Genomic DNA, 21,581 nt, shown 5'->3' with positions numbered 1-21,581 from the left:
GAGGCATAGGTTGCAGTGAACCAAGATCATGCCACTGCACTCCAGCCTGGGTGACAGAGCAAGATTCTGTCTCAAAAAGAAAAAAAAAAATTTTTATGTTTTGTTTGTTTTGTTTTTGGGTTGTTTTGTTTGTTTGTTTGTTTTGAGGTGGAGTTTCACTCTTGTTGCCCAGGCTGGAGTACAATGGCGCTTCCTGGGCTTATTCCAACCTCCACCTTCCAGGTTCAAGCAATTCTCCTGCCTCAGCCTCCTCAGCTGGGAAGCTGGGATTACACGCACGTGCCACCATGCCAGGCTAATTTTTGTATTTTTAGTATAGACGAGGTTTCACCGTATCAGCCAGGCTGGTCTTGAACTCCTGACCTCAGATGATCCACCCGCCTTGGCCTCCCAAAGTACTGGGATTATAAGTGTGAGCCACCACACCCTGCCTTCTAGTAGGTTTTGTATAAAAATACCTTTTGACATATGGTCTCAAAATTGTAATCTAGGTAGTAGTCAAATTACCTACTGTGTAAATAGGTATTACAAAGGAATGAGAGTTTGACACAGGCACCCTCTCTAATTTGTTTGTTCCCATATCCTATATAAATTTCATTAGCCTTACTCATTCATTTGTGTATAGATGCAGGGACAAAGTCCACCTGCTCCAACCAGAGGAATTTCCAAGCATAGCACAAGTGGTACAGATGAAGGAGAAGATGGAGATGAACCAGATGACGGGAGCAATGATGTCGTTGATCTTTTGCCGAGGACGGAGATCAGGTAGGTTCCAGTCTGTGAAATGGTTTATTTCATTCATTGTATTGAATTCAGAATGTTGTCTTCTTTTTGAATTCAGTGAGGGGAACTTAACGTGATATCATCATTTTTTTGGAGTCTGGAATTAAAGGTTATTTTCTGTTTTTCAGTGATAAAATCACTTCAGAGTTGGTATCTAAGATTGGTGATAAGAATTGGAAGATTAGGAAAGAAGGCCTAGATGAAGTGGCAGGTATTATTAATGACGCAAAATTTATCCAACCGAATATAGGTGAACTTCCAACTGCCTTGAAGGGTCGACTCAATGATTCAAATAAAATCTTGGTATGTAGAGCATACGGCTGTTCTTTTTATCTCCCCTCCCCACTGCTGCAGGAGTTACCTTTTCAGTGTAGCCTTCACTTGCAAAAAATAAGTGGTTACTTTATTTGCTTTGAACTAGAAATAGCTGCCTTTAATTTATTAAGTGTATCTCAAGATATGATGGTAGTTGGCAGATTTATTCATCAAATTTTTATGAGTCTCAGAATTTGCTTTTTGCAGGAATCCAATATTGAATATATTTGTATAAAACTGCTTGTAATACATGTAAACATAATGATTTCTGATTTTTAAATGTGGATTTTTATGTCAGGATTTCCTTAAACTAGGTTTTACCTTAAAGTTGTAAAGTACTATGATCTCTGGTCTAAAATTCTGATAATCTAGTTTTACGAACTGATGATAAAAAGGCCACTGCCTAAAAATTAATTAGAATAATCTAAGTCGAATAGCATGACAAGCCAGTGTCTCTGTCTCTTGAGTAGGCCAAAAATCTCCTGCTGTATTGACAGTATAGCAGCAAATTTACGGAAGTTTGCACACAACTTGCTTATCGTTTCAACATAAAGTATTGGCTCTTTCCACTCAGGTACAGCAAACGCTGAATATCCTGCAACAACTGGCAGTAGCCATGGGCCCAAATATTAAGCAACATGTAAAAAATTTAGGCATCCCTATCATCACAGTCCTTGGAGACAGCAAGGTAAACCTAACTCTTTTCACCATGCCTCCATTCTGGAATAGGCCAGCCATATTTTTGGGTTAAAGATAATTCTCTTTTTAGAGTCATGTAAAGACCTGATAAACTTTATAAAGATGAAAATATTAGAAGAAAAACAGTAAACATTTTTATCTTCCAGGCAGTATTAAGGTGACCAGGTATCACTTATTAGTTTTGTGACTTTTAGATAAGCTATCTTTGTTGAGGGTCAGTTTCTTTATCTGTGAAATTTCTTTCTTACAGAATTAAATGAGTCTGTATGTAAGGTACATTTTATTGTGCCTGTCTCATATAGTATGCACACAATAAATGGTTGCTATTATGATTATAACGTAATTGTGTAACATTTTGCTATAGTGAATAAATATGTGAATTTGGAGTTCATTAAGTTATTTTCTACTTTTATTTTTCTGAACTATTAGAGTGGGATCTTCTAGTAGTTCAGCAAGATATTTGTAGTTTCATAGTTCTAGAAGTCACTGAAATATCATTGAAGGTTACAATGTTTAGCCGTAGACTAAATATTTGAATATCTCTATACTGTTGTATAATTTATTTAACTTGAGGAACTTTATTTAATATAATTTGTGCTTTTAATATTAATGTAAATTAATATAAAAATATAACTAATTTTCAGTCAATTTATTAGCAGTTTCAGTCTTAACCATTATGATGTCTTTAACATTTAGAATTTCATTCTTTAGCAGACAGACATGGACGTAAATGCCCCCAACTACTCAGGAAACAAAATATAAGAGTTATTCTTCTTACATGATATTTTATGCCCAGATCACTCACTGTTTTGCCTGATTAACTGAGTACACAAGTTTTACAATTTGGAGTTTTATATTTCTACTTTACTTTGGAGTTTTAGTACAATCATAGAACTAGTTTCTGTTTCAGAGAAGATGGTTTCATGTATGTTCATGTGGGCCTTAGATAACCCTCCATTGTTCATGTTCATAAAGCAACAGTGATCACCCCCTACCTCCAAACTGTAGTAGATATTATTTTTGCTGATTATCTTCTCCATTTAGAACAATGTTCGAGCTGCTGCCCTAGCGACTGTGAATGCTTGGGCAGAACAGACTGGCATGAAGGAATGGCTGGAAGGAGAAGATCTTTCTGAAGAGCTCAAAAAGGAAAATCCTTTCTTGAGGCAAGAGGTTAGTATCATAAATTAATCATGTGCATTACTCATGTCATTTACTTCCATAGGGGCTTGGGCCTGTCTGATAAATACGCATTTATGGTTAGAATGAGTTTCATTATAAAACAGTTAATAAAATGAAATCACATTCCTGGGGCCTTTGTATTCATGTGCTTCCATTTTTTCCTTTCACATGCTTCTTTATCAATAACGCTTTTTAGAGGACTAGGCTTTTTGTGGAATTTTTCCCTTTTCTTAAACATTTAAATGGTAAAATCAGAGGTTTTGTGTTTTTTTTATTATTATTTAAGCTCTGGGATACATGTGCAGAACATGCAGGTTCGTTACATGGGTATACATGTGCCATGGTGGTTTGCTGCATCCATCAACCCGTCATCTTCATTAGGTATTTCTCCTAATGCTATCCCTCCCCTTGCCCCGCTAACCCCCGACAGGCCCCACTGTGTGATGTTCCCCTCCCTGTGCCCGTACGTTCTCATTGTTCAACTCCCACTTACAAGTGAGAAATTGCGGTGTTTGGTGTTCTGTTCCTATGTTAGTTTGCTGAGAATGACGGTTTCCAGCTTCATCAATGTCCCTGCAAAGGACACGAACTCATTCTTCTTCTGTGGTTGCATAGTATTCCATGGTGTATATGTGCCACATTTTCTTTATCCAGTCTAACATGATGGGCATTTGGGTTGGTTCCGAGTCTTTGCTATTGTGAATAGTGCTGCAATAAACATACGTATGCATGTGTCTTTATAGTAGAATGATTTATAATCTTTTGGGTATTACCCAGTAATGGGATTGCTGGGTCAAATGGTATTTCTAGTTCTGGGTCCTTGAGGAATTGCCACACTGTCTTCCACAATGATTGAACTAATTTACACTCCAGCCAACAGTGTAAAAGTGGTTCCTGTTTCTCCACATCCTCTCCAGCATCTGTTGTTTTAATGATCGCCATTCTAACTGGCGTGAGATGGTATCTCATTGTGTTTTGATTTGCATTTCTCTAATGACCAGTGATGATCTTTTTCATATGTTTGTTGGCCACATAAATGTCTTCTTTTGAAAAGTTTCTGTTCATATCCTTCACCCACTTTTTGATGGGGTTGTTTGTTTTTTTCTTATAAATTTGTTTAAGTTCCTTGTAGCTTCTGGATATTAGCCCTTTGTCAGATGGATAGATTGCAAAAATTTTCTCCCATTCTGTAGGTTGCCTGTTCACTCTGATGATAGTTTCTTTTGCCGTGCAGAAGCTCTTTAATTTAATTAGATCCCATTTGTCAATTTTGGCTTTTGTTGTGATTGCTTTTGGTGTTTTAGTCACGAAGTCTTTGTCCATGCCTATGTCCTGAATGGTATTCTAGGTTTTCTTCTAGGGTTTTTATGGTTTAAGGTCTTAGGTTTAAATCTTTAATTCATCTTGAGTTAATTTTTATATAAGGTGTAAGGAAGGGGTCCAGTTCAGTTTTCTGCATATGGCTAACCAGTTTTCCCAATACCATTTATTAAATAGTGAATCCTTTCCCCATTTCTTGTTTTTTGTCAGATTTGTCAAAGATCAGATGGTTGTAGATGTGTGGTGTTATTTCTGAGGCCTCTGTTCTGTTCCATTGGTCTATATATCTGTTTTGGTACCAGTACCATGCTGTTTTGGTTACTGTAGCCTTGTAGTATAATTTGAAATCAGGTAGCGTGATGCCTCCAGCTTTGTTCTTTTTACTTAGGATTGTCTTGGCTATACAGGCTCTTTTTTGGTTCCATATGAAATTTAAAGTAGTTTTTTCTAATTCTGTGAAGAGAGTCATTGGTAGCTTGATGGGAATAGCACTGAATCTATAAATTACTTCAGGCAGTATGGCCATTTTCATGATATTGATTCTTCCTATCCATGAGCATGGAATGTTCTTCCATTTGTTTGTGTTTGTTGAGCAGTGGTTTGTAGTTCTCCTTGAAGAGGTATTCCTAGGTATTTTATTTTCTTTGTAGCAATTGTGAATGGGAGTTTGCTCATGATTTGGCTCTCTGTTTGTCCATTATTGGTGTATAGGAATGCTTGTGATTTTCGCACATTGATTTTGTATCCTGAGACTTTGCTGAAGTTGCTTATCAGTTTAAGGAGTTCTTGGGCTGAGAGGATGGGGTTTTGTAAATATGCAATCATGTTCATCTGTAAACAGAGATAATTTGACTTCCTCTCTTCCTATTTCAATACCCTTATTTCTTTCTCTTGCCTGATTGCCCTGGCTAGAACTTCCAATAATATATTGAAAAGGAGTGGTAAGAGAGGGCATCCTTGTCTTATGCCGGTTTTCAAAGGGAATCCTTCCAGCTTTTGCCCATTCAGTATGATATTGGCTGTGGGTTTGTCATAAATAGCTCTAATTAAAATCAGAGGTTTTAATCAGAACATAAAAATAGAGGCTGGGTGCAGTGACTCATGCCTGTAATCCCAGCACTTTGGGAGGCCGAGCAAGCAGATCACTTGAGATCAGGGGTTGGAGACCAGCCTGCCCAACATGGTGAAACCCTGTCTCTACTAAAAATACAAAAAATTAGCTGGGTGTGGTGGTGCGGGCCTATAGTCCTAGCTACTCGGGAGGCTGAGGCAGGAGAATCGCTTGAATCCAGGAGGCAGAGGTTGCAGTGAGCTGAGATCACACCACTGTACTCCAGCCTGGGTAACAGAGCAAGATTCCATCTCAAAAAAAAAAAAGTCCAGTTGCAGTGGCTCACGCCTGTAATCCCAGCACTTTGGGAGGCCACGGTGGGTGGATCACCTGAGGTCAGGAGTTCAAGACCAGCCTAGCCAACATGGTGAAACCCCATCTCTACCAAAAATAGAAAAATTAGCTGGGCATGGTGGTGGGCACCTCTAATCCCAGCTACTCAGGAGGCTGAGACAGGAGAATCACTTGAACCGGGAGGCGGAGGTTGCAGTGAGCCAAGATCGCGTCATTGCACTCTAGCCTGGGCAACAAAAGCGAAACTTCGTCTCAAAAAAAAAAAAAATAGAACATTCAAAAATCCATCAGAGTAATCATAACAACAGAATAACAAAATTTGTGATTATATCAACTGATGCAAAAAAGGCATTTGACATATCCAACATGCATTCATGATTAAAAACTCTTAGCAAGTCAGTAATGAAAGAGAATTACCTCAACTTGATATAAGCATCTGCATAACAACCTCTACAGATAACATGAAACTTAATGGTGAGGGCCAGGCGCGGTGGCTCACGCCTGTAATCCCAGCACTTTGGAAGGCCAAGGCGGGGGCAGATCACGAGGTCAAGAGATCGAGACCATCCTGGCAAACATGGTGAAACCCCGTCTCTACCAAAAATACAAAAATTAGCTGGGTGTGGTGGCATGCGCCTGTAGTCCCAGCTACTCGAGAGGCTGTGGCAGGAGAATCACTTGAACCCGGGAGGCAGAGGTTGCAGTGAGCCAAGATCGTGCCACTGCACTCCAGCCTGAGTGACAGAGCAAGACTCCGTCTCAAAAACAAAAAAACAAAAAAAAAAAAGAGGAATCACTTTACAATTAGCTTACTATATTGCTAATGTAATCAAGACACTGTGATAGTGGTAGCAGGAGGATGGGGTGGAGATAGACACGTAGATCATTGGAACAACAGAGAGAACCCAGAAATAGACCCACACTAATATCAACTAATTTTTTACAAAGCTACAAAAATAAGTCCGTGAAGGAAGTATAGTCTTTTCAACAAATGATTCTGGAGCAATTGGACATCCATAAACAAAAAAATGAACCTCACCCTAAACCTCACTGTCTCAAAACAGATTATGGACTTAAATTTGAAACATAAAACTATAGAACTTTTAAGTGCAAACTAGAAAATCTCCAGGATGGGAGGCTGGCAAAGAATTCTTAGACTTAAAACCAAAACCATAATCCATAAAAGGAAAGTTGATAAATTGGACCACATGAAAATTAAAAACTTTTACTCTGCAAAAAAAACCACATGAAAATAATAAAACAAGCTACAGAACAACAGAAAAGATTTGTAAGCCAGTATCCAATAAAGGACTAATATCTAGAATATATAAAGAACTCTGAAAACTCAACAGTAACAACAACAACAACAGAAAAATCAGAAAATGGGTATCCATGGCCAAGCCTGTGAGTAGTGAGCTGAGATCATGCCATTGCACTCCAGCCTGGGTGACAAGAGCAAGACTTAATTTAAAAAAAAAAAAAAAAAAGATGCTCAGTGTTATTAGCAACCAGGGAAATGCAAATTAAAACTGTGTTGAAATATCACTATACAATCATCAGAATTGCTAAAATTAAAAATAATGGTAACGTGAAATGCTGGAGAAACCTAAACAGTCATGCATTGCTGCTGGAAATGTAAAATGGTACAACTACTTCAGGAAATAGTTTGGTATTTTCTTATAAAACTAAACGTGCAGTTACTATATGAGCCAGCAATTGCACTCTTGGACATTTATTTCAGAAAAATGAAAATTTATATCCATACAAAAATCTATGTACAAATATTCATAACAACTTCAATCATAGTAGCCAAAAACTGGGACTATAGCTCAAGGGTAGAGCATTTTACTGCATAATAGCCAAAAACTAGAAACAGTTCAGATACCTTTCAGTAGGTGAATGGTTAAACAAATCTCTTGTACATCCATACATGGAATACTATTTAGCAATTAAGAACAAACTGCTGGTAAATACAATAATTCAGATAAATCTCCAAGGAATTGTGCTGCATGACTAAAGCCAATCCCACTGGCCTGCGAGCCAAGATTATGCCATTGCCCTCCAGCCTGGGTGACGGGAGTGAAACCTTGTCTCAAAAATGAAAAATACAAATATGAACTATTTTAGGGATATAGAGAAGAAAAATGTCAACATAAGGCAAAAAATAAGAAGTCTTGGTAAAATTTGTAACCTTCTGATCACAATAAGTGCTTTGGGTCTTCTAGCTAAATATTTTTCAGAACTAAAGGGAGATAAGTAAAAGTTTTTCATCTTTAAGATGTATTAAAGCTTTATAATTTAATACCCAAATATAGTCCAAAGAAATGTGTCCTTATCTTAAAGATGATTGTCATCATTGCATATGTTATTTAAATTTAGCACAGTTCTTGAATTATGAAAAGTACTGATTTCATATTGGAAAGTTATAGTGTGAAAGCTAATTCAGTGCTTGAGACTAATGAAATCAGTAAGCCTGAGATCATAAATGATAACAGTCTTCATTTGAAGTGTGTAACTAGTCTTTATTTCTTTTGGCAGCTTCTGGGCTGGCTGGCTGAGAAACTACCTACTCTTCGTTCCACCCCTACAGACCTTATCCTTTGTGTTCCTCATCTCTACTCCTGCCTAGAAGATCGAAATGGAGATGTGCGAAAGAAGGCCCAAGATGCCTTGCCATTCTTCATGATGCATTTAGGATATGAAAAAATGGCCAAGGCTACTGGGAAACTAAAGGTACTACTTCTTGTTGCTGCTACTGCTGTTAAAAGCTATTAAAAAATATATTTAACATGGGCCTGGCACGGTGGCTCACGCCTGTAATCCCAACACTTTGGGAGGCCGAGACAGGTGGATTACCTGAGGTCAGGAGTTCAAGACCAGCCTGGCCAACATGGTGAAACCCCATCTCTACAAAAACAAAATTTAGCCGGGTTTGGTGGCACATGCCTGTAATCCCAGCTACTTGGGAGGGTGAGGCAGGAGAATCGCATGAACCCAGGAGGCAGAGGTTGCAATCAGCTGAGATCGTGCCACTGCACTCCAGCCTGGGCAACAAGAGAGAAACTCTGTCTTAAAAATATATATATATTAAACATGAATTTATATGAGGAAAAAACCATATTACCTCCTGTGAGTCTCAATTTGAAATCGTAACAAGCAAAAATAAAATATTAAGCAGTGTAGAAGTAAAAATCTGCTGACCTCACAGGGGTGAAAACTGTGACCTTCTAGAATGATACCTACCTTAGTGTGACTTCATAATGTGTGTGACTTCTCTGACACCATGTACTGCCTCCCTTACTTCAGTGGTATTTCAAAACTAGGAGCTCAATCATTTGTTTGACAGAGGATTTGTTCATAAGCTTTGTATGACTTTATCATTTATGTGACCTCTCACTTTTTATGTCATTTTGTCTCTCTAGCCAACTTCTAAAGATCAGGTATTGGCCATGCTAGAGAAAGCCAAAGTTAACATGCCAGCCAAGCCTGCTCCACCCACTAAAGCAACTTCTAAACCAATGGGAGGGTCCGCTCCAGCCAAATTCCAGCCTGCATCAGGTAACTCTATCTTAAGAAGGTTAAAGGGGAAGGAAATAGCCCTGAGGAACTCTAAAAAGACATTCAGCCTTGTCTTTTTTAAATCACATTTCCTTACAGCGTAGATCCAAGCTCTCCTTCCTTCTCTGCTTACTTTCCTTTCACAAACACTTGTCAAGTAGTCAAGTACCTATTTTATGCCAGGAACTGTACTAAGGGTACAAACGTGACTAATTTGGTTTCTAATTCTAAAAAGTTTTTTTTGTTTTTGTTTTGTTTTTTTTTTTAGAGATGGCATCTTGCTCTGTCACCCAGGAGGGAGTGTAGTGGCGTGATCATAGCTCACTGCAACCTCGAACTCCTGGGCTCAAGTGTTCCTTCTGCCTCATCCTCCCAAGTTGCTGGGACTACAGGCATGCGCCATCACACCTGGCTAAATTTTTTACTTTTTATAGAGATGAGGTTTTGTTGTGATGCGCAGGTTGGTCTCAAACTCCTGGCCTCAGGCGATCCTCCCATCTCAGTCTCCTAAAGTGCTGGACTTACAGGCTTGAACCACCACACCCGATCCCAAAAGGAGTTTTGGAATAGTACATTAAAATAGTCCTTTCTGAAGTGTTGCATCCTACATTTCCACAACTATTTTCTGCTCCTGGATACTATAATTAGAAGAGGAATTGGGAGAATCTAGCTTAATCCACTTTATTAACCTTCTTTAAGGGATAATTCTTGATTTCTTTATCCTGATATTAAAATTCCATAATAGGCTGGGCACAGTGGCTCATGCTTGTAATCCCAGCACTTTGGGAGGCCAAGGCCAGTGGATCATTGAAGTCAGGAGTTTGAGATCAGCCTGGCCAACATGGAGAAACCCCACCTCTACTAAAAATACAAAAATTAGCTGGGTGTGGTGGTGCATACCTGTAATCCCAGCTACTCAGGAGGCTGAGGCAGGAGAATTGCTTGAATCCGGGAGGCAGAGGTTGCAGTAAGCCAAGATCACGCCAGTGCACTCCAGCCTGGGGGACAGAGCAAGACTCTGTCTCAAAATAAATAAATAAAAATAAATAAAATTTGATAATATATAACCTGTGACCAATTCATTTTTAGACTTACTGCTTAAACAAAACAATATTCTTGAATTTAGTGGAATAGAAATTGTTGATGCTATAAAGTTAGAAATTTTACAGCCTGAGCAACATGGCAAAACTCCATCTCTACAAAAATTACAAAAATTAGCTAGTCTTGGTGGCGCACACCTGTGGTCCCAGCTACCCAGGAGGCTGAGGTGGGAGGATCGCTTCAGCCCAGGAGGTTGAGGCTTCAATGAGCCACGATCGCACCACTGCACTCCAGCCTGGGTGAGCCAGAACTAGTCTCAAAAAAAAAAAATTTTACCTGTGTAAAACTCTTTATTAAAGTACATATTCAGTTTTTATTGAAATCTTGCTATGTAGCAGATACTGAATATCAAAGATGTCTTTACCTTTAAGAAAGTATCAGTCTGGGCTGGGCATGGTGGCTCACGCCTGTAATTCCACCACTTTGAGAGGACAAGGAGGTCAAGACCAGCCTGGGCAACATAGTGGGACCCTGTCTCTAAAAAAAAAAAAAAAGTTGTTTTAATTAGTTGGGCTTGGTGGTGCACGCCTGTAGTCCCAGCTATTCAGGAGGCTGAGGTAGGAGGACTGTTTTAGCCAGGGAGGTCAAGGCTGCAGTGAGCCCTGAACGTGCTATTGCACTCTAGTCTGTGTGACAGAAACCCTGTCTAAACAAACAAATGAAACTACAGTTTAAATGTTGGTAAATGAGATACAGATTTTCTGAATTAATTTCTCTCTTACGCTTAAAGATTTTGGGAGAAAAATTATTAGGAAAAAAAAATCTAAGCCAGGCACAGTGACTCACGCCTGTAATCCCAGCACTTTGGGAAGCCAAGGTGGGTGGATTGCTTGAGCCCAGGAGTTTGAGACCAGCCTGGGCAACATGGCGAAACCCTGTCTCCACAAAAATTACAAAGAAAATTAGCTGGGTGCGGTGGCACGGGCCTGTAGTCCCAGCTACTAGGGAGGCTGAGGTGGGAGAATTCATTGAGCCCAGGAGGTCAGGACTGCAGTGAGCACCGTGAAGGCACCACTGTACTCCAGCCTGGGAGATAGAGCAAAATCCTGTCTCATAAAAAAAAAACTAACTGAAAACATCTTATAAATTGATACATTTAAGACTGCAAGCTTCCTTGTCATCATTATATATTTAACCTGTCCAAAATAAAATGATATTAGTTAAAGTTTATAGTATATATATATTTTTTTCCTCAAAGCACCTGCTGAAGATTGTATTTCCAGCAGTACAGAACCCAAACCTGATCCAAAAAAGGCCAAAGCTCCAGGATTATCCTCTAAAGCAAAGGTATGTTAACTCTGTATACTTCGATGTAGACTTGCTTTTAAATATATTTTATATACTGAGTCATTCTATTAGGAAGGATCATATTATATATAAAAGAACATCACTGCTGTTGATATTATCAAATTATTTATACAAATTTCTGTGGTTCATTTTTAATAAGGTCCTAAAACGGAGACATCCTGCTCTCAAGAGGTGCTGTCATCTTCCTTTCATGTAGATTTTCGGGGAAAGATTTACTTTATTGAAAGAAGAAAGGGCCGGGCACAGTGGCTCACGCCTGTAATCCCAGCACTTTGGGAGGCCGAGGCAGGCGGATCACCTGAGGTCAGGAGTTCGAGACCAGCCTGGCCAACATAGCGAAACCCTGTCTCTCCTAAAAATACAAAAATTAGTTGGGCATGGTGGCACACCTGTAATCCCAGCTACTTGGGAAGTTGAGGCAGGAGAATCGCTTGAACCCAGGAGGTGGAGGTTGCAGTGAGCCAATATCTCGCCATTGCACTCCAGCCTGGATGACAGAGCGAGACTCAGGAAAAAAAAAAAAAAGGAGAAAGCATTTGTAGCTCTGGCATAATAAACACTTTAGGCTGATTTGGATTTAAGAAAAGGAAGTTAAATCAACCTCCTTCAAATTTGGCACTGTTGTCATCATATTAGAAGATGTTTCGGTTAGTCTGCAGGGAAATATCTTTTGTCCCAGTGGGATTTATTTTGATGCATCAGCAATTCTTTCAATATTCATGGAGAGTTGGACAATTTAAAGCAGTGTGTTCAAATGTTCAACTTTATCCTCTGGGTGATTTTTTCATTTAATTAAGTTTTAAAATCACAGTAAATTGTCATTATCTCTATCAAGATTGAGATTAATAAACATATTCAGAGTGTTAATTATTTAACACTTACAAAAGGAAAATTGCAAAACTGTGCAATGGGTAATGAATCTAATAGTAAGTCTAAATAGAGAATTATTTAATTTACTTCCTGTAATTGATGAAAAAATATAGAGAATGTTTTTTAACCAGTACATGTATTATTACACCCCCATTTTGGAGTACACACTCTAGGGCCTTTCTTCTAAATATTACAATTAACCATTTTTCTTCCCTATGCTCAGGCCCTTTAACTCCTCAGTGAATTAATTTAAATGGGTAATTATCTTCAACTATCCAATGACGTTGTTCTTTTCCTGTCTGCCTGTCCTCATCCCAAATTTAACAAGTGCTTATTTTAGTTTAGATCACGAGTGTTTTGCAGTATTTTTGACTCCGTTCTTAATGCCATAATTTTTTTCCCAATCTTTTTAAACTTACGAAGCAGTTTCATATAAATGATCTCATATTTGTTTGGTCTGAATGACATTAGTGTTTATACTAGAAAGAAATTGTGGCCAACTAGAAATAGTGGCCATGCTACATTTATAATAATAATGATTCCAGTAATGAAATTTGAATTTTACCTTAAATATGTGTACTATTGTTTACTATTTTCTTTCTATCTGATATGAAGATTTTAAATCTTGGATTATTTTTTAAAACCACTTTAGTGACTTAAATATTTAAAGCATTTCTTGTAACTTTCTCTAGAAGCAAGTTCAAAAGGTCTTCAGTTACACTGTTATGATAAGAGATACATTTAAATATCAATGGAAAGAAACAGAAAAGCTTTCAAACTAAGTGTTTGGAAATGTGTAAATGCCATTCAAGATGTCATTAATGGCTGAGGTGGGTGGATCACTTGAGGTCAGGAGCTCGAGACCAGCCTGGACAACATGGTGAAACCCTGTCTCTACTAAAAATACAAAAATTAGCCAGGGGTGGTGGTGGGCGCCTTTGGTCCCACCTACTGAGGAGGCTGAGTCAGGAGAATCACTTGAACCTAGGAGGTGGAGATTGCAGTGAGCTGAGATCACGCCACTGCACTCCAGCCTGGGCGACAGAGTGAGACTCCGTCTCAAAAAAAAAAAAAAAAAAAAAAAGATGTCATTAATATGGAAAGCTATAAATAGTGTTGAAGATTTCAAGAAAACAAAAACAAAAAGTTTGTGACCTAGACTAATGATCAGTAATAGCAGTTTTTCCAACTACATAACATGCCAGTCCAAGAACTAACCAACAGTTACTTAAGAATATTCTCAGAAAAATTTCTAGAGAACCTGTTCAAAAACATATACAAGATTCTGTGATGCATGTTTTTTTCATGTGAAATATCACGTAGAAAGATATCTCTGTTTTCTACAGTGCCCTTTTACTGGGCAGCAGCATCATATTCTTAAGGAGAAGTGGCCAAGCTAATCAGTATTCCCTGAACCTTGGTTGTAGAGTGCACAAGGGAAGAAGATGCCAAGCAAAACCAGCTTAAAGGAGGATGAAGACAAATCCGGGCCTATTTTTATTGTTGTTCCAAATGGAAAAGAGCAAAGGATGAAAGATGAAAAAGGATTGAAGGTAAGGAAGGATTAAGAATCGTCAGGAGATTTTTGCTTGTATTGTTATTCAAGAATAGTTTTGCTGTCTGAATTCATGTTATTGTTTAATATCTAGGAATTAAGTGTTTCTTTTGCTTATAAATTATATTATTTAGTTTATGGGAGCATTAATTCCTACAAAAGAAACTATAGAATAGAGTTATTGCCTATTTTTCCCTGTAAATAGAAATAAATGATTTAGTAGCTTTTTTGGTATCTTCATTGATTTTTTTTTTTAATTAATTGGATGTATAAGCTTCTTCATTAATCCTTCTTTTTAAGACCTTACAAGGCAGACTTTGTGACTGTATAAATGGCTAGTTCAGTCATTTATGTTACTTTGATTTCATTAGATACTTAAATTTGTTTTCAAAATACATAATCTTTTTTAAAAATTATATGCAGTACAGAAAGTGCAAAGTATAGTAAGAAAAGCATGTCTCTGTTCCAGTATCCCTCCACAGGGAGGATATTAGTCCTCATTTTTTCAATGTATTACTCCAGAAATATTTTATACCTCTACTATCATATGTATATTTTTATATAGCCCTCCTTTTATACAGATGGCATATACAGACATGCCGTACTGTTTGTTCTGTATCTCACTATTTTCTTTTAATGATGTTTGAAATATCTGAAAGATCATTCGTATCTGTGTATATATGTGTGTATCACTGTTTGTATTGGTGCATTGTATGTATGTACCTTTCTTTATCCTTCGCCCACTATGTTGGACATTTAGGTTGTTTCTGGTCTTTCACTATTACAAACACTGCTGCTGTGAATATCTTTGAATGTAGGTCTTTGTACACATATGTGAGTGTATCTATATTAAACTCCTAGAATGATGATATGCATAATTTTGATAGATATTTCAAATTTTCTCTCTATCAAAGATGTGGCAGCAGTGTCCACCATGTTATATAGTTATATGTAGGATTAATTTTTTTTTTTTCTTTAGTAAGAATTGCAAGGCCAGGCACAGTGGCTCATGCCTGTCATCCCAACAATTTGGGAGGCTAAGGCAGGCAAATTGCCTGAGCCCAGGAATTCAAAACCAGCCTGGACAACATATTGAGACTTCATCTCTACGAAAAAAATTTTTTAATTAGCTGGGCATAGTGGTGCATGTCTGTAGTCCCAGCTACTTGGGGGGCTAAGGCAGAAGAATCACTTGAGCCTGGGAGGTTAATGCTACAGTGATCTATGATCATGCCACTGCACTCTGCCATGCCCAGGCAACAGGTGAGACTCTGTCTCAAAAACAAACAATTCCAAAAATTTTTATTCCTAGAAGATTTTCAGAGTTGTTAAGCTTCAAGAAGTATGACACCTTGAAATTTGCATTCATATTTAATTACAAATGAATATTGTTGAATTTTTAAATATTTTATTGTTCCTGCAGCTGCATTATATAAGGCTCTCTACCTCATTTCAGTTGAACACCCTGTAGCCCCTTTTCACCGTTTGTTTTTTCCAGGTGCTAAAGTGGAATTTTACTACCCCACGGGATGAATACATTGAGCAACTAAAGACTCAAATGTCTAGCTGTGTGGCTAAATGGTTACAAGATGAGATGTTTCACTCAGACTTTCAGCATCATAACAAAGCCCTTGCTGTTATGGTTGATGTAAGTCTGCAATAGATAAATATACATGTATTTCAGACATGTAAAAATACCGAGCCCTATGAAATAATCTGAAGTTTGCATGACTTGGAAGTAGAATATACTATGTTCTCTATTTTTAGAGCTGTCTTGTTATTTGGTAGAATAAATGAATGTGTGTGTATATTTTTTAGGTCTTAATTGAAGGCTTAAAAATCTGTCATTTTCTTTTTGGGCTCCAATAAAATTTAAAAGACACTTGCCTAGTAGAATTAAGATTTTGATTATTCTTATTTGTGGGAGTTTTGTTTTGTTTTATTTTAAGCACTTGGAGAGTGAAAAAGAAGGAGTTATTGGTTGCCTGGATCTTATCTTAAAGTGGCTTACCCTGAGGTTTTTTGACACCAATACAAGCGTCCTGATGAAAGCACTAGAATATTTAAAATTGCTCTTCACCTTGCTAAGTGAAGAAGAATATCATCTTACTGAGAATGAAGCATCTTCCTTCATCCCCTATCTTGTCGTCAAGGTAATGTGGTGTTCTCTCTCTGGGAGACTGCTTAAGTTCCCAGCTGACCTCAGTTTCTGTACTTTTATTTCCTCTCCCTTTTTTACTGATTATATCACGGTACCTTCCCTACTTATCCCTATTTCCCTATTCTTTCAAAACATAGTAATGCATGGGAGAATCATTGCTACTTAGGAAATGCCTCACTTAATCATTATTTTCCTTATCGACTAGGTTGGAGAACCAAAGGATGTCATTCGTAAAGATGTTCGTGCCATCCTGAACCGGATGTGCCTTGTCTACCCAGCTAGCAAGATGTTTCCCTTTATCATGGAAGGAACCAAATCCAAAAACTCTAAGCAGAGAGCAGGTGAAGCAAACAGTTTAAACTGAGATGTGAATCTCTGCAGCAGTAGCCTATAGAAGAAATAGTTTATAGATGAACAAATAAATTTCTCCAGTGCCTATGTAGTTGATTCCAACCTCCTGATTTAGACTGTGAGAGTGATGAGTTGCACACTGGTGGAGCCATGGTATCAGGTGATACAGGCACCACTCAGTATCACCCTGGTGACAAAATCAAGTGCACAGGGGCCATCTGACTCACAGGCATCTCTTCCTTTCAGGAGCACTTGCTGAAATACCATTTTTTCACTGATAAAAGGCAGTAAACAAAAAATCCTAGGCAGAGCCAGAGTAAGGTTTTAGTCCTTCATATATGCCAAGGGAAATTTCTCTAGTAAGGATAAGTCTCTGTCCCAAATATGTGTTGTCTCATTAATCTAGCCTTTCTCCCCCATCAGAGTGCCTGGAAGAGCTGGGATGTCTGGTTGAGTCCTATGGCATGAATGTTTGCCAACCAACCCCAGGAAAAGCCTTAAAGGAAATAGCTGTTCACATAGGAGACCGTGACAATGCTGTACGCAATGCTGCACTCAACACCATTGTAACGGTGTACAATGTACATGGGGATCAGGTGTTCAAACTGATTGGAAATGTGAGTGACTTCTCTGAACACTGTCAGCATGTCGTGAAAAGAATTGCAAGATCTCCTAGGTGTTAGGTTTCCTGTCCTCTCAACTGTAGCTAAGTTTTTACTACTTTTTAGTCAACTCAACCTATCAATGTGTCCTAGAATCCAGATAGACCCTTGAGGTGTCTCTGATTAGGCTGTTTTAATGGAAATCAAGTTTTCTTTTCTGAGCATTCTATTCATAGCAAATTTGCTTTAGAAATGAGTGCTATTTTTGAATCAAGAAATCTGAGCTAGTCCCGGGTTTAAATTCTGCCTGGCAGTCTGCTCTGTAATTTTTACTGCATCGAGTTTTTGGTTAAAAAGTGCTTATTTGTGTATAGTGTGGATGCTAGTATCTGTCAGATCACATCTTGCGCTACAGCCGTGAGCCAGTTTTTCACTCACATTAGGTTCTGCCTCTGACCTCTTATTTCGTTTGAGTGAGTCTGGACCTCCGTCTTCAGTTACCTCATAGTGTCACCATGTATTTACACAGGGCTTAAATATGTTTACTTATATTTTCTAATTAAATTCTCACTACTACCCAGTGAAGAATATAAAGCAGTTGGGAATTTTACAGATGACCAAAAATGAAGTTTCTTGCCCATAGTCACACAGCTAGATAGTGGTGACAAAACAAAAAATGAGGAAGCTTCATTTAATTTTTGACCTTTTTATTTGTAGTTACTAATTGGCTTTCTTTTTTTTATCGTTTCTTTTTTTTTTTTTTTTTGAGACAGGGTCTTGCTCTGTCACCTAGGTTGGAGTGCAGTGGTGTGATCATGGTTCACCGCAGCCTCGACCTCCCAGGCTCAAGTGATCCTCTGACTTCAGCCTCCTGAGTAGCAAGGACTACAGGCGCGTGCCACCACACCCAGCTTATTTTTATACTTTATGTATAGATGGGGTTTCACCATGTTGCCCAAGCTGGTGTCAAACTCCTGGGCTCAAGTGATCCTCCTGCTTTGGCCTCCCAAAGTGCTGGGATTACATGCATGAGCCACTGTGCCCAGCCCCTCTCCTTCTTTCATATCTCCTCTTCCTATAGCAGCTAGGCAGGTATTAATAGTAGTTGATTTTGAAATGTGGTGCTTTGAAAGTAAACATGTCCTAACATAGAAGGTTCTATTTGTTTTGATATGAAAATAGATATTATTGTGTTATCCAGTTAGGTTTCTAAATTTGGCCTCTTTACAGCTTTCTGAAAAGGATATGAGCATGCTCGAGGAGAGGATTAAGCGGTCAGCAAAGAGACCCTCTGCTGCACCAATAAAACAGGTGGAAGAGAAACCTCAGCGTGCACAGAACATAAGCTCCAATGCCAACATGTTACGCAAGGGACCAGCTGAGGACATGTCTTCCAAACTCAAGTATGTAGATAGAGATACTTGTCTGAGAGCATCTCCATGGCCTTTGCCTTGTGTGCTCACAGCCTGTCCTGTAACATAATCTTGAGTTCTTGTAGCCATTATCATGCATGACAGAGTGTCTGGGTAAATGTATTGTAACCAAATGTTTGATTCTTCAGTCTTCATTGTCTTTGTCTTTGTCTCAAAACCACTTCTAAATGGTCTTGTGCCTTCTTTCACTGCTTTTCCGTGGACAGAATTATGTATCGCACTTATAGGATGTAAGTACTGCCTGCTAATTTCTCATTAGCAGGGCTCTTATATCTTTCTAACTTCTGACTTGGATTCATCCCCTCTGGAGGGTGACTAGCTTAGAGTTTATAATCAGGGTAGAGGGTGTCCATAAGTACCCCATGAATCAAGTCTTCCACAAAAGTTCAATGTCATGTGGCTAAAATACTGATTCACTTTCTTCTTTGTGTTATACTTGGTTGTGCTTAGTTTCCTATTCTTGAGATAAGGCTAATTAAAATACATGCAACCCAAAATTGGCTTAGGGACTCAAAATACTGCCTCCTAAGCAAGACAGCTCTATTTTGGGTTGTGTCATGAGTATAATTTTAACGAACTTGAATTTGGAAACTTTGAATCCCTATTTCTTGGATGTAAAGCTGGCCCTGACCTGTCAAGAGTGAATATTCTAAAAAGGGGTGACTGGTGGTCTCACAAAATATAAAATGTGCTGAACACGGCATGGAATGGTACTTATGATTAGCAAAATTAAAGCACTGGTTAATTTGGTGGAAAAGAACCAGCCAGTCTAAATTTTTCTTATATATTTGCTCATAAGTAGTGAACTTTGAGTCAATACAAATATATTTTATTGTTTTCTGCCCCTTCAGGAATAGAAATACAAGGTTTGTTGGCTTTAGTGAACTAGAACAAATACTTATAACTTGGCAGGTAATGTAAGTACAAATTAAAGTTATCTGCCCTCTTAGGATATTCATGAACCAATGTTGTTACCTATTAAAGGCACTTGCTTAGACTCAGGGACTTAAATCATTCAGGGGGGCTGAAACCAGAAGTTGAACATCTGTCCTGAAGCTTTGGGGCAACTGACAGTGCTACTCTTGCCCTTTGGTTAAGAAGTCTCTTTTAGTTCAGGAGCCTCCTTTTGCTTCCCTTAGCCAAGCCCGAAGCATGAGTGGGCATCCTGAGGCAGCCCAGATGGTCCGCCGAGAATTCCAGCTGGATCTAGATGAGATTGAGAATGACAATGGTACAGTCCGATGTGAAATGCCAGAACTTGTTCAGCACAAACTGGATGACATTTTTGAGCCAGTCCTTATTCCTGAACCCAAGTGAGTTAAACTCTTTCATTTAAATATGAGCAGTTCATGATGATCAGACGGCCTACGTGAAATGTGCCCTTTGTAATGTGCAGTTAAAACTTTTTAGAACTGATTATTTTTTGAATGATAGCAGTTGTTAACTAAGACCTGGACCTAGTGGAGAATTGTATAACTCCAACTGACTGGGATGTCTTGTAATAGAGGTTGAAGTTTTCTCTTTGTTCTGCTATCTAGGATCCGGGCTGTTTCTCCACACTTCGATGACATGCACAGTAATACAGCATCCACAATCAATTTCATTATCTCCCAAGTAGCCAGTGGTGACATCAACACAAGTATCCAAGCTCTGACACAGGTAATGGGTGTGCTCCCGTGACAGGGATTCCATTGGTGGACATAGAGGCTATAAATGTGATGAATTGCACACTCGCAGAGTCATAGCATTAGGGGATGCAGGCAGTGTTTCATACTTTCCCGAGGAAAGAAATGCACAGGTGCCACTCAGTCATCACTTGCCTCAGAGGATGTGACTCTAATAGAGCCTTATTTTTTTTTTTTTTTTTCCTCTTTTGAGACCAGGTCTCACTATGTTGTCCAGGCTGGAGTACAGTGGCTATTCACAGGCACTATCATAGCACATTGCAGCCCCAAACTCCTGGACTCAAGTAATCCTCCTCTCTCAGCTTCCTGAGTAGCTGGGACAACAGGCTTGCATCACTGCACCTAGCTAAGCCTTGCATTTTTTATAATTGCATTGATTCACCAGAGGCTAGAGATAAAACAGCAGCTAACAAGTAAGGACCAACTCTCATGGAACTTATTTAGATTTTAGTGGACAGAGACAAGTAAACAAGAAAATATCACACAGTTGTAACAACTGTGTAAATATAACTTAAATGGGGTAATGACGGAAAGGAAGTGAGTAGATACTTAGACTGGGTGATCAGGAAAACTCTGATATCCTTGGGGCTTAGAGTATGCCAAGGAGAGGAAAGAGCTAGTGGTCAAAGGCCTTAGGGCAGAAATGAGCGTGAAGTTCAAGGAAATAAGAGAAGGTTCATGTGCCTGGAGCATAGTGTTAAAGGGGGACAATGATACAGAATGAGATTTGAGAGGCAGACAGTGATCATATCATGTAGGGCTTTAAAAGCACCAGGGTGAGTTGTTTGGATTTTATTTCAATTATGATAGGAAACCATTAGAAATTTTTTAAAAGAGAAGTCATGGGTGGGTATGGTGGCTCCTGCCTGGAGTCCCAGCTGCTCAGGAGGCTGAGGCAGGAAGATTGCTTGAGCCTGGGAGGTTGAGGCTGCAGTGAGCTGTGATTGCACCACTATACTCCAGCCTGGGTGACAGAGTGAGACCATGTCTCAAAAAAAAAAAAAAAAAATAGGCCAGGTGTGGTGGCTCACACCTGTAATCCCAGCACTTTGGGAAGCCAAGGTGGGTGGATCACGAGGTCAGGAGTTCGAGACCAGCCTGGCCAATGTGGTGAAACCCCGTCTCTACTAAAAATACAAAAATTAGCTGGGCATGGTGGCGCACGCCTATAGTCCCAGCTGCTCAGGAGGCTGAGGCAGGAGAATCACTTTAACCCAGGAGGCAGAGGTTGCAGTGAGCCGAAATCGTGCCAG

General features: G+C 38.9%; 1 protein-coding gene and 2 non-coding genes across 4 annotated transcripts in view; all 3 read left to right on the top strand.

Annotated features, from left to right (window-relative positions):
• CKAP5 (cytoskeleton associated protein 5) overlaps positions 1–21,581 on the top strand; it is a 103,233-nt gene that overhangs the window by 67,056 nt on the left and 14,596 nt on the right. For both annotated transcript variants that reach the window (NM_014756.4, NM_001008938.4), the window contains exons 21-35: positions 626–765; positions 912–1,086; positions 1,673–1,786; positions 2,842–2,970; positions 8,243–8,437; positions 9,127–9,262; positions 11,562–11,650; positions 13,969–14,094; positions 15,595–15,744; positions 16,046–16,249; positions 16,463–16,598; positions 17,032–17,225; positions 18,441–18,613; positions 19,783–19,956; positions 20,182–20,302. In NM_014756.4, the coding sequence (NP_055571.2) occupies positions 626–765; positions 912–1,086; positions 1,673–1,786; positions 2,842–2,970; positions 8,243–8,437; positions 9,127–9,262; positions 11,562–11,650; positions 13,969–14,094; positions 15,595–15,744; positions 16,046–16,249; positions 16,463–16,598; positions 17,032–17,225; positions 18,441–18,613; positions 19,783–19,956; positions 20,182–20,302 (2,256 nt within the window). The remainder of the gene's footprint in view (positions 1–625; positions 766–911; positions 1,087–1,672; positions 1,787–2,841; positions 2,971–8,242; positions 8,438–9,126; positions 9,263–11,561; positions 11,651–13,968; positions 14,095–15,594; positions 15,745–16,045; positions 16,250–16,462; positions 16,599–17,031; positions 17,226–18,440; positions 18,614–19,782; positions 19,957–20,181; positions 20,303–21,581) is intronic.
• SNORD67 (small nucleolar RNA, C/D box 67) lies at positions 16,726–16,836 on the top strand. The gene has a single exon (NR_003056.1). It is a non-coding gene; the product is annotated as a small nucleolar RNA, C/D box 67 (small nucleolar RNA).
• LOC124900314 (small nucleolar RNA SNORD67) lies at positions 20,352–20,459 on the top strand. Its single transcript, XR_007063008.1, has one exon. It is a non-coding gene; the product is annotated as a small nucleolar RNA SNORD67 (small nucleolar RNA).

The sequence above is a fragment of the Homo sapiens genome, chromosome 11, assembly GCF_000001405.40.
Source record: "Homo sapiens chromosome 11, GRCh38.p14 Primary Assembly".
NCBI classification, from domain to species: domain Eukaryota; kingdom Metazoa; phylum Chordata; class Mammalia; order Primates; family Hominidae; genus Homo; species Homo sapiens.
The sequence above is the reverse complement of the archived record's forward strand: the minus strand, read 5'-3'. Positions and strand labels throughout refer to the sequence as shown.